The sequence below is a fragment of the Homo sapiens genome, chromosome 11, assembly GCF_000001405.40.
Source record: "Homo sapiens chromosome 11, GRCh38.p14 Primary Assembly".
Taxonomy (NCBI): domain Eukaryota; kingdom Metazoa; phylum Chordata; class Mammalia; order Primates; family Hominidae; genus Homo; species Homo sapiens.
Genome location: NC_000011.10, coordinates 63,139,668 through 63,152,991, shown reverse-complemented (window position 1 = coordinate 63,152,991; position 13,324 = coordinate 63,139,668). Strand labels below are relative to the sequence as shown.

The window sequence follows — 13,324 nt, the reverse complement described above, 5'->3', positions numbered from 1 at the left end:
TAGAACCAAAAAAGAGCCCATATACCCAAGACAATTCTAAGCAAAAAGAACAAAGCTACCTAACTTCAAACTATACTACAAGGCTACAGTAATCAAAACAGCATGGTACTGGTACCAAAACAGATATGTAGACCCATGAAACAAAACAGAAGCCTCAGAAATAACACTACACATCTACAACCATCTGATCTTTGACAAACCTGACAAAAACAAGCAATGGGGAAAGGATTCCCTGTTTAATAAATGGTATTGGGAAAACAGGCTAGCCATGTGCAGAAAACTGAAAATGGACCCCTTCTTTACACCTTATACAAAACTTAACTCAAGAGGGATTAAAGACTTAAACATAAGACATAAAACCATAAAAACGCTAGAAGAAAACCTAGGCAATACCATTCAGAACATAGGCAACATAGGCATGGGCAAAGACTTCATGACTAAAACACCAAAAGCAATGGCAACAAAAGCCACAATTGACAAAAGGGATCTAATTAAACTAAAAAGTTTCTGCACAGCAAAAGAAACTATCACCAGAATGAACAGGCAACCTACAGAATGGGAGAAAATTTTTGCAATCTATCCATCTGACAAAGGGCTAATCTACAAGTAACTTAAACAAATTTACAAGAAAAAAAACAAACAACCCCGTCAAAAAGTGGGCAAAGGATATGAACAGACACCTCGCAAAAGAAGACATTTATGTAGCCAACAAACATATGAAAAAAAGCTCATTATCATTGGTCATTAGAGAAATCCAAATCAAAACTACAATGAGATACCATCTCATGCCAGTTAGAATGGCAATCATTAGAAAGTCAGGACACAACAGATGCTGGAGAGGATGTGGACAAATAGGAACACTTTTACACTGTTGGTGGGAGTGTAATTAGTTCAACCATTGTGGAAGTCAGTGTGGCGATTCCTCAAGGATCTAAAACTAAAAACACCATCTGACCCAGCAATCCCATTTCTGGGTATATACCCAAAGGTTTACGAACCATTCTACTATAAAGGCACACGTACACATATGTTTATTGCAGCACTGTTCACAATAGCAAAGACTTGGAACCAACCCAACTGTCCATCAATGATAAACTGGATAACGAAAATGTGGCACATATACACCGTGGAATAATATGCAGCAATAAAAAAGGATGAGTTCATGTCCTTTGCAGGGACATGGATGAAGCTGGAAACCATCATTCTCAGCAAACTAACACAAGAACAGAAAACCAAACACCACATGTTCTCACTCATAAGTGGGAGTGGAACAATGAGAACACATGGACACAGGGAGGGGAACATCACACACTGGGGCCTGTTGGTGGGTGGTGGGCTAGGGGAGGGATAGCATTAGGAGAAATACCTAATGTAGGTGATGGGTTGATGGGTGCAGCAAACCACCATGGCACATGTATACCTATGTAACAAACCTGCACGTTCTACACATGTACCCCAGAACTTAAAGTATAATAATAAAAAAAAAGAATTTTCTGGGAGTAGGAAATTGTTCTGCATGTTGAGAGGATTGCAGTTTACACTGCTAAGCGAAGTTATTTAAATACCTTGAAATTGCACTTAAGATTTGTATATTTCATAATGTGTAAATTTTACCTAAGATAAAGGAGCCATAAACAAAAAATGATATGCCTGTAAATTATTTTTACAATTATCTAAAAAGTGGTTACTCACAGAAAAGCAGGAAGACATTTATTCTGAAGTTGCACACAGGTGTTTTCTTAATTACGCTTAAGTTAGATTTTGTCATTTGAATGGTGGTTAAATACATGTTCTGTTTATAATAATTCTTTTAAATATACACACGTGGCTGGGTGCGGTGGCTCACGCCTGTAATCCCAGCACTTTGGGAAGCCAAGGCGGGTGGATCACCTGAGGTCAGGAGTTCAAGACCAGCCTGACCAACATGGAGAAACCCCATCTCTACTAAAAATACAAAATTAGCCAGGCGTGGTGGTGCATGCCTGTAATCCCAGCTACTCGGGAGGCTGAGGCAGGAGAGTCGCTTGAACCCAGGAGGCGGAGGTTGCGGTGAGCCAAGATCACACCATTGCACTCCAACCTGGGCGACAAGAGCAAAACTCTGTCTCAAAAAATATATATATATATATACACACACACACACGTGTTTTAGGTACACTTCTATATGTAAATTTCAATACTCATACAAGGTTAAAAATTTATATAGACTAATGTAGATTTGCTGGTAACTATTCTAATTTTGAAAAGAAGAACAAAGCTAAATGACTTTCCCTGCCAGATTTTAAGCATATACAAAACGAGTGAATAAAAACAATGAGGTATGAGAACAGGAGCAAACAGACTGATCAATAAACAAAATAGGTGTGTCTGTGCACAAAGTATAATACCTGTTAAATGATTCAGGAAGCAGAACATATAGAGGAGGCAGAAAGGCATTTTTAGGAAATCATAATGGAAATATAGCACACTCTGAAAACAAATATAGGTGAATACCACAGCATTTGTTAAAGTGGAATCCCAATATAAGTAAAGGTAATAACCAGGGAGATGTCCTTGCAAACTGCATGTATGAATCAGGGTTCTACAGAGAGACAGACCAGTAGAATATATATATGATATATGTATTCATACATATATGACATATATGACATTCCTACATATATGACATATATTATATATATATATATGAATGATAGGGGTTTCTTAGGATAATTGGCACATGTGATTATGGAGGCTGAAAAATCCTGTGACAAGTTGTCTGCAAGCTGAAGACCCTGGTATGCTGGTAATGTGGCTCAGTCCAAGTCTGAAGACTTCAGAACCAGGGAAGCCAATGGTGTAACTCTCCATCCAACACCAAAAGCCTGAGAACCTGGGAAGCTGCTGGTATAAGTTTTCGGGTTCAAAGGCCAGATAGGCTGGAGTTCTGATATCCAAAGCAAGATAAGAAAAGTGTATCCCAGCTCTGGAGAGAGAGAATAATTTACCTTTTCTCTGTTTTTGTTCTGTTTGGGCCCCCAGCAGATTAGACGGTGCCCACCCACATTGAGGGAGAATCTTTCTCACCTAGTCCACTCAGACGCACATGCTAATTTCTTCTGGAAAACCTCACTCTAGGTACTCTTTAATCGAGTCAAGTGGACACCTAAAATTAACCATCACACTACATTTCCAGATTCTGTTGGCAATTTGATTGTGGTTAGGGCCAGGCAATAAAAGACGGTGGAATATTGGAGAGCAAAAGGAAGGCAGAAGCCCCCTTGATTTAGGCAGGACCTACATCAGTGACAATATCTCCTCTGTTGTTCCAGCTCCCACCCATCTAGCGCATTTCCTCTAGGTTCCTCTGGGTGATCCTAGCACCTGAATACAGGTGGCATTAACTCTTCTACTTGTTCTCCAGTTCGTGTAGTAGCACCTTCCTCCATTGCTGATGTCTGAGTTGTTTTACCATTCCTTGTCTGAACTTTGCATGTTAGTTCCCCATATCAAATTCTATTGAATAAATGATATTATGTGGTTTTTACGATGGGTTGCCAATATCTTGGAATGTCTCATGTTTCTTTGTTCAGTGTTCCACAATTATTTATTTGGCACTTAACATGTTCCAAAAACTCTTCACGATGATGAGGATACAAGAAAGATCAAAGCAGACTGTTTTATTTCACTGGAAGTACATTCAAGTAGTGGGGAAATAGGTAATAAGCAAATATATGGCTGGTAGTGCTCAATGGCATGAAGAAAATGAAACAGAATAAGGATATGCGTAGAGAGAGAGATGGCATCTAGATCAATATGTAAGGAGACAACATAGGGAAGGCCTCTCAAATGTGGTAACATTTGACTGGAGAACTGAAAGAACTGATGGAATTTTTGAGGCATTTTGTGGAAAAGTCAATGCAGAAATCCTGGAGTGGAAATTGCCTAGCATCATTTGAAACACAAAGAAGGCCAGTATGGGTAGAGAAAAATAAGGTAAAGTCATATGGGTAAAGGGACAGAAGGGACTAAATCTAATAAGACCTTGAAGGTAGTAGGGTGGTTGACATTATTCTGCAGGACATGGAAGCCACAGGAGGTATTTGAGATTTGACATGACATGACAAATTGGAAACGGTATACTCTGCAATTTGTGTGGAAGAAAGGTAGCGGGGCAGGGGAATAGTCCAGGTGAGAAATGAGAGGGACTTAGACTTGGGAGGTAGTAGGCTGGTAGTTAGGAGAAGTCAGATTCTGGGCGTCATTTGAAGGTAAAGCAATTTTTAAAACTTGGAGTTTAGGGGAGTAGTTTGCTGCAGATAAAAATCTAAGAGTTTGTTATAGTTTGGATGTTTGTCCCTCCAGATCTCATGTTGAAATTTGACCCCAATTATCGGAGGTGAGCCCACTGGGAGGTATTTGGGTAGTGGAGGCAGATCTCTCATGAATAGATTAATGCTCTCTCTTGAAGGTGGGTGAGTTATCAATCTATTAGTTCCCTTAAGAACTGGCTATTAAAAAATGTCTGGCATCTCCCCAACTGCCCTCTTGCTACCTCTCTTGCCATGTGACCTCCACAATACCCTGGCTTCCCTCCACCTTCTGCAGTGGAAACAGCCTGAAGCCCACAGTTGATGTAGATGCTGATGCCACAATCCTTATACCGTCTGCAGAACCATGAGCCAAATAAGCCTCTTTTCTTTACAAATTACATAGCATCAGGTATTCCTTTATAGCAACATGCAACTGACTAAGATAGAAGCATTAGAAAATAAATTAAGGAAGTGAGTACATGTAAACAAGAGAAATTGTTAAAGAACTTAGCCCTCCAAAACTCCAATGTTTGAAGACTCAGCACAGAAGACTGAGAAACTAGAGCCTGGAATGAATTAGTAAAATAAAAACAGAGTAGAAATCTGGGAGGCCAAATGAGAAAAATGTTTCCAGGAAGAAGAATTTATCAACTGCAACACATAAACATTTGGATCTAATAATATGGAAAACATTAAGACCTTCCTTACTAAGAAGAAATTTGGTGATAAACGCCTGATAGGATTGAGTTAAAATGTAAATGGAAGGGAAGAAAGTGAGAAAAGATTTGCTGTCAATAATATCAGGTAATAGGGCAGTAGCTTAAGGAGAAAATGGGTTCATCAAAGTTTATTTTGGTTTCTGCTTTTCAAATTGAGAGACATCACTGTCCGTTTGTATGTCAGGAGGTTGGTGATTTCTTAATGGAGCTTATCTTACACTACAGAATTATTTTGTCTGTGTCCTGGCTTTCCTTGCTTCCCCAAAAGATAGGTAAGGTTCTGATTCCATTGATTCACTGGCAGGTGTATTCAGAGATGAGGGCAGCCCTTCCTGGTGCATCTTCCTATGCAGGCTTATAGGGGAGGCCTCAGTTTTTACAGTAGTATTGCCTTACCAAAGCTTCCCATGTCCTTCAGTATACAGTTTGTTTCCACTAAGAAAACATGGATGTTAAAACTAGTCTTGCTGCCATGTAATACTGAAAGGTGTCAGTGAGATCAAAGGAAAGAACTGAGCACAGTAGCAAGTCAATGTAAGTGTCCTAAAGAAACTATATAAAGCCAGCAAAACAATCAATAATGCTGGAAGGAAATGAGAGATAAATAGATGAACATAACAGCCTATAGGCACATAAAACAGAGAGATAGCTGTGGTGGTGCACAATAGGAATTCAACCTCAGCAAGAGTGAGTAGACTTCACCTCTCTTCCATTTGAATAAGACATAAACTTCTCATGCTGACATTACAGTACCTGGGCTTCTTTTGTCCAAATGATTGTAGAATCTGTGAAACAGAAGAAGCCTGGGTGCCATGAGGGTGGAATGAGAATTTTACAGGTGGGTGTTTGTATCATCACCCATAGTTTCCTAATTGCCACCAGTCTAATCTTCCACTGTGTACCCAACACTGGACTCCCTGCCAGACTTTTTAAGCTTTATACAGTGTTCACATCTTACTATCCCAGTCAACTTAATAGGGCATATTACAACACTTGTCCATGTTACATTTTCCCTGTAAACCAAGGAGGGTAATACCCATCTCACGGGGTTGTTGTGAGGAATAAATAACATGCACAGAAATCACCCAGCCCAGTGTCTGGCACATAGGAAATGACAATATATTGCTAGTGATCATTATTGTCCTTACTAATGCTTTTTTCTCTGCATGCTTCTTTACTTACTCATTACTCTAGAGATACATCACTATTTTGACCTATGGAACATTCCTTCTTATTCCTTTTTGTGTCTATACTTGGTCACCATGATACTTACTAATTTCCTCTCCTTTAAATTTTCTGTGTTTCATGGGAGATTTGGGGGATGGGGCACAATGGTTTCAGCCTCTCCTCTTCCAGCCATCTTGACTCTAGATAGGCCATCGTTGTTTCTGAGCATAAAAACAATCATTTAATTTATGAGATGAAAATAAGTCATTTACTGATGAGTTAATGGGTGCAGCGCACCAGCATGGCACATGTATACATATGTAACTAACCTGCACGTTGTGCACATGTACCCTAAAACTTAAAGTATAATAATAATAAAATAAAAGAAAAGAAAAAGAAAATAAGTCATTTATTAAAGTGAGTAAGAGATTTTCCTTTAGACTACCATGGTCCATATTTTGGCTCTACCACTTACACTCTGTATATCCTTTGGCAAGTTATTTAATGTGTCTAGTCCTTTGTTTTCTCAGGGGTAAAATGTAGATAACAAGGGTGAGAACTAAAATAAGGAAAACATTAAAAGTGCTTACAACAGAATCGACTTATAGCGAATACTCAGTGAATTCACAGCTGTAATCATTCTTTACATCATTTTATTCTTGTGGTTCTGAATGGTTTGCCTTGCTGGAACGTTCACTTCTTACTATTTTTACACTGTGTCAGTAACTTTAGTAAAATATAATTGTGATTGTCTAACCCCATTATGGGGTGAATTGTGTCTCCCACTCCCAAAATTCCTATGTCAAAGTCCCAACCCCTAATACCTCAAAATACAACCATATTTGGGGATAGGTTAAAATGAGACCCATAGGGTGGGGCCCTGATCCAATATGACTAGTGTCCTTATAAGAAGAGGAAGGAACACCAGGTGTGCACATGCATAAATGAAAGAATATGTGAGGACATGACGAGAAGGCAGCTATTGACAAACCAAAGAGAGAGGCTCAGAGGAAATCAAATCTGTTGACACCTTGATCTTAGACTTTCAGCCTTCAGAACTGTGAGAAAATAAACTTCTGTAAAGTCACCTTCTGTTAAGTCTGTGGTATTTTGTTATGCAGCCCTAGTGAACTAAAACATTTCTAACAATTTACAACAAAACCCTGTGATGTATTAGATTTCCTGTTTGGAATAGATCCATGAAAGTCATTTCCTGAACAGAGAATCTCTGCAGGCTGGACAGGAATCTGCTTTTTTTTTTTTTTTTTTTTTTTTTTTTTTTTTTTTTTGAGACAGAGTCTTGCTGTGTCACCCAGGCTGGAGTGCAGTGGCACAATCTCAGCTCACTGCAACCTTCACTCCCAGGTTCAAGTGGCTCTCCTGCCTCAGCCTCCTGAGTAGCTGGGATTATGGGTGTGAGCCACTGCACCCATCCAGGAATCTGCATCTTAAGATGTTTCACGGGTGACCAGTTTGAAATTCAAAAATAAGAACTTCTTGTAGGCAGAATAAATTCTGGAGATTCTGTTTGTTTCTTTGGGTTTCTTTTTAATCAACCTGTCTTTTCCCATTATATCCGTGCATGCTATTTAGCTGCTAGCTTTTGAATATCCTTGTAGGTACACAATTATGCCACACCTTTAACTGTAATTGTGTACTTATTATTCCCTCATTTAAAAATTGACTCTTGCAGTCCCTCATCCACTGCTTCATTATCTCAAGAATCTTCCCACAAGAGTAGGTCAAGCTGGCTGGGCATGGTGGCTCATGCCTGTAATCCCAGCACTTTCAGAGGCTGAGGTGGGCAGATCACATGAGGTCAGGAGTTTGAGGCCAGCCTGGCCAATATGATGAAACCCCTTCTCCATAAAAAATACAAAAATTAGCTGGGCATGTGGGTGAATGCCTGTAATCCCAGCTACTTGGGAGGCTGAGACATGAGAATTGATTGAACCCAGGAGGTCAAGGCTGCAGAGAGCCAAGATCCCACCGCTGCACTCCAGCCTGGTGACAGAGTGATACTTTGTCTCAAAAAAAAAAAGAGTAGGTAAAGTTAATTTGTAGAGGGATGACTCCCCTGCTCCATGGCATCTATCCAGGTATCATTAAACAGTTTCTCCTTAATCTTCCATAGCACACTGTGTATCTTCCTTATAGTTATATGATGACATTACAGTACAATTATTTACAAACCTATCATTTATATGAGACATTGAGCTCAAATTTTATTTTAAACTTATAAATAAATATATGTAAGTTAACATTGCTTTATTTACAGCAATAGCACCAGAAAGCCCAAAATGATATTTGAATGAATCAATAAATCTGGTGAAATATACTACTATAATACATAAAAGCACTATTTCCTTTCTCTTTGTTTCTTATCCTAATTTCCCTATTTTAAAAAATCTTTAAAGCCCTGTCATTGGTATGACTTGAACTGAAGCAGAACTACACTTAGCAAAAGTCAATGTTTAAACTCAACATTCCACTTTCCTTTAACTAAGAATAGTTTTTATTAACTTTTAGTAAAACTCAGTCCTAGTCCAAAAAAAGCCCTGCTCTCTGATCTTTGTACAAGAACATCATAAAGCAATTCACTTTGGATTTTCTAATATCCCATTTCTAAGAAGAATGGCAGACTATTGAACAGGTGTATTTTAGGTCACGTGGGGACTGCATCCACCTGAAAATCCACCGTTGACTTATCAGGAAACTCAGAGATCAGGATCTTTCACAGAGTAGTCTTTTAAGAAGATTCAGTTGTCAACAGCTAGCAGTCTCTTTGCCAAATAATTATATCTGTGACTTCTGAAACTATTTGGCTGCCTAAAGTTAAAGGACTTGGGGAAAGTCCTTCCACTGCTCTTCTGCAGTAGTGTCACACCACTCAGTGCAGGGCCCACCAAGAAGAAAGCAGTGTCAGGATCCACATGGCACTATGGTAACTTTGTGAAAGGGGACATTTTCTCCCTCTGAACTTCTCTTCATAAAGTCATTGTGCTTCCTCTTGGGGATCACCTGTTCAGTCTCAATGGGCTTTGATGTGCTCCTGGATCAAGTGGGTGGCATGGGGAGATTCCAGATTTGTCTGATAGCTTTCTTTTGCATCACCAACATCCTACTGTTCCCTAATATTGTGTTGGAGAACTTCACTGCATTCACCCCTAGTCATCGCTGCTGGGTCCCCCTCCTGGACAATGACACTGTGTCTGACAATGATACCGGGACCCTCAGCAAGGATGACCTCCTGAGAATCTCCATCCCACTGGACTCAAACCTGAGGCCACAGAAGTGTCAGCGCTTTATCCATCCCCAGTGGCAGCTCCTTCACCTGAACGGGACCTTCCCCAACACAAATGAGCCAGACACGGAGCCCTGTGTGGATGGCTGGGTGTACGACAGAAGCTCTTTCCTCTCCACCATCGTGACTGAGGTAAGAGGCCCCATGTAAATCTTCTGTTTATATGATTAAAGTGTTTGGAGTTAACACAAAAAAATTGACTTGCTTTATACCTTTAGTCCTTAGATGGGACCTGCAGTCAGCTCATTCTTCATTCCTTTAGCAGGTGGCAGCACCTGATTATCTATTAATACTCTACGATACAGCCAAGTGTATTAGTATTATATTGGTGTAAAAGTAAATTGTGGTATTAGACCATGAATTTTAAATCATTATAACTAGGCTCAAACACATCTTTATTAATCAAAATAGGAACCATTACAATCAACACATTTTTGGCAATGAGAAATAAGTTTGTTAATTCTGTAACATAAATATCCACGCTTTGGGATTTGACAAATTTTTCTGCATTCTGCTGGTTGTGAAAGTGTTTCTCCTACAAAATGTTGTTGAGATACTTAGTTTTGGTTGTTTTTGTTTTTTGCTTTTTGTTTTTTGAGGGAGGCCAGAGTTTTATTACTACTCAAATTAGTCTCCCTGAGCATTCGGGGAGCAGAGTTTTTAAGGATAACTTGGTGGTTGGGGGGCAGCCAGTGAGCCAAGAGTGCTGACTGATCAGGGCTGAAATCATAGGGAGTCAAAGCTGCCTTCTTGTGCTGAGTCACTTCCTAAGTGGGGGTCACAAGATCAGATGAGCCAGTTTATCGATCTGGGTGGTGACAGCTGATCCATCAAGTGCGGGATCTGCAAAATATCTCAAGCACTGATCTTAGGAGCAGTTTAGGGAGGGTCAGAATCTTGTAGCCTCCAGCTGTGTGACTACTAAATGATAATTTCTAATCCTGTGGCTAACGTTAATCTAGTCCCCAGGCAAGAAGGAGGTCTGCTTTGGGAAAGGCTGTCTTTGTTCAAACTATAAACTACAAACTAAGTTTCTCCCAAAGTTAGTTCAGCCTATGCCCAGGAATGCACAAGGACAGCTTGGAGGTCAGAAGCAAGATGGAGTCGGTTAAGTTAGATCTCTTTCACGGTCTCAGTCATAATTTTGCAAAGGCAGTTTCAATCCCTCCCTTTGGGTTTTATAACACCTTAATCTTAAGATGTAGGCTATGAAGACGGGAAAAGGCCATCTATCACTCCAGCTTCTTCCTGCTGACAGGGGACATAATGGGAATGGGAGTGAACCCCAAGGTGAGAAGAGTGGAACTGCTTTGCTACTGAGTGTATTCATGCAGGCCTGGATGGGCTTCCAAGGCTTGTGTGGCAAAAATATTAGTACTCTCATCTATAGTTTTAGTACAGTATTTAAATGAAGAGCATGCTATAAGGTAAATAATGAGTCCTAGGATGAGGAGTACAATTCCCAATTTTAAAAGCAAAGATTGGAAAGCATTTGTCTGGGGCCTTCTAACTCACAAATAATTTAGAATTTAGTCTAACCTGCAGAAAAAAAAACATCAAGAACAGCTAACAAAAGTGTAATATAGTTTTTCTTTTGAAGCATAATTTTTCTCTCTCCAGTCCCTATTTTTATTAAAAACAAATTATGATAGAACTGACTTACAGTTTACAAAACAAACTTTAGTTTCACTGTACTTGGCCTGATTATTTGCATAAAGTGCAGCAAGAATAATTATTTTTCACTTAGGCTTTTTTAATTGGCTTTGATGAAACTCTGTTCCATGAAGAATCTCAGATAAGGCTTTTTAAAAGCCGAGCCCAGCCATGGGTTTGAACCCTCAGATACCTATGAGTTGAACAAAGTCCTCTCCTCAAGATAACTTGGGGTTCCTGGGCCTGTTAGAAAGTGACATTCTTTACTTAACACAGGTCAGGAACCTTGTACAGGGACTCTGTCTGGACAAGGTATGAGGCCAGATTCCCCAGTGGGTTTTAATTGGTTCCATAAGTCAACTTTGATTCTTTACAAGAAGCATGCCATTCCAGTCAAAGCCTTGGAAAAATGACCAGTTTCTCCAATTGTATCCTTTACTCCGATGGAGGGGGGTTAGCTTTCCAAACAAAACCCAACGAAGATAGCATGAGGCCAACTAAATCTGTCTCCTCCCTCTCCTCCTTTTATTTCCTGCCGTTTACCCAAAGGAGAAAACAAAACCCTTTCATTATCTTTTAACATTACATAAAAATTGTCTTCAAAAGAGAAAACCAAATTTCATGTTTGCATTAGTGCATCTTTAATGTTAAAGTTTGTTTTTTAAAATAAAATTTTATATCTCTATCCAGTTTTAATTAGTTTGACCATAAGATAAGATTTTTATAAACTTTTTAGAACGCTTTACAATTTTCAATCAAACAGCACATCAATTTTCTAAGAAAACCCTGTTATTTGGACACATGGGCCCAGATTCTGGCCCCACATCAGTATGATTAGTGTTCTAACCTATTGTAAAAAGCTAAATAATTTCTTTTACATCTTAGCCAACTTGTGTATACCCACAGAATTTTTTATAAGATTAACGCTTTACAAAACCTTTTCACTTTGCTTAAACTTTCAGTTTTGTCTTATTCTCTCTTAGTTTAAGACAGTCTTTAAAACCCCCTCTAAACCAGAAAAAATTACATTCCCTTTAACAAAAGCCATATTCTTATGCCTTCTTATAAACTTTTACCAAAAACACATTCCCTACGCACCTTGTATGTCAAACTGTTTCTCCAGTAATCTCAATTTCATATTCCAATGTTAACTCTTTGCTACTTTTGTTTTTTAGTGAAAAACCTGATAAGTAAGCAATTTTAATTATGTACTGGGGTGAAGCCTAGGACATCAGATAGAAGTGAAGATAAGATCTAATTCTTTTCAGCATAGCTAAGGGCGAGGCTCTTCATGTGTCCCCAAGCCTCATCTATAATCTAATGCTCCAAAGTAGGTAAACTGAATGATTTTCAAAGGTCAAGGAAACAGTTTGACCTTAAGGCATTTAGCAGATCTGATATCTGGCCTTAATTTAGACCAAATGTCTATATTTTCAAGACACTTTGTTTTACCGATAATCTTTAAAACTGTCTTTATGCCCAGATGTGGTGGCTCACGCCTGTAGTCCCAGCACTTTGGGAGGCCGAGGTGGGCAGATCATGAGGTCAAGAGATTGAGACCATCCTGGCCAACATGGTGAAACCTCATCTCTACTAAAAATACAAAAATTAGCTGGGCATGGTGGTGTGTGCCTGTAGTCCCAGCTACTCAGGAGGGTGAGGCAGGAGAATTGCTTGAATCCAGGAGGCAGCAGTTGCAATGAGCTGAGATTGTGCCACTGCACTCCAGCCTGGTGACAGAGCAAGACCCCGTCTCAAAAAAAAAAAACAAAAAAAAAAAACAAAAAAACAAAAAAACTGTCTCTATTTCCAAAAGATTACTAAAGACATGTGAACAAAAAGTCATTAAAGTTTCTATTTTTCTGACAAAATATTAAGCTCTTATTTTTCTAAGCTAATTAATCAGAGCTCTTTTACATATAAATATCACACACAAAAAAAAACATATAAATACAGATAAAGAGAATATTCAGTACTTGTAAGATTTTTCATTTGCCAGTTTCTTAATTGGATTACTGGCTTCCAGGTAGAGCCCTTGGAGGAAAAGGGCCAGGAGAGCATGCATTTCTAGGGCCTAATCACAGCTGAAGGCAAAGACAGATCCCCAAAATTAGGGGTGCCATTTTATACTGGATCCTGGATCGGATCCCTAAAAGGAGGGAAATACTTTGGGAGAAGTCAGTGTGGTG

The 13,324-nt window shown here is 39.2% G+C and overlaps 1 protein-coding gene across 2 annotated transcripts in view; it reads left to right on the top strand.

Annotated features, from left to right (window-relative positions):
* The first annotated feature begins 8,770 nt into the window (after positions 1-8,770).
* The window catches only part of SLC22A24 (solute carrier family 22 member 24), a 64,282-nt gene continuing 59,728 nt past the window's right edge, over positions 8,771-13,324 (top strand). For both annotated transcript variants that reach the window (NM_001136506.2, NM_173586.3), the window contains exon 1: positions 8,771-9,614. In NM_001136506.2, the coding sequence (NP_001129978.2) occupies positions 9,213-9,614 (402 nt within the window). In that variant the 5' untranslated portion in view covers positions 8,771-9,212. The remainder of the gene's footprint in view (positions 9,615-13,324) is intronic.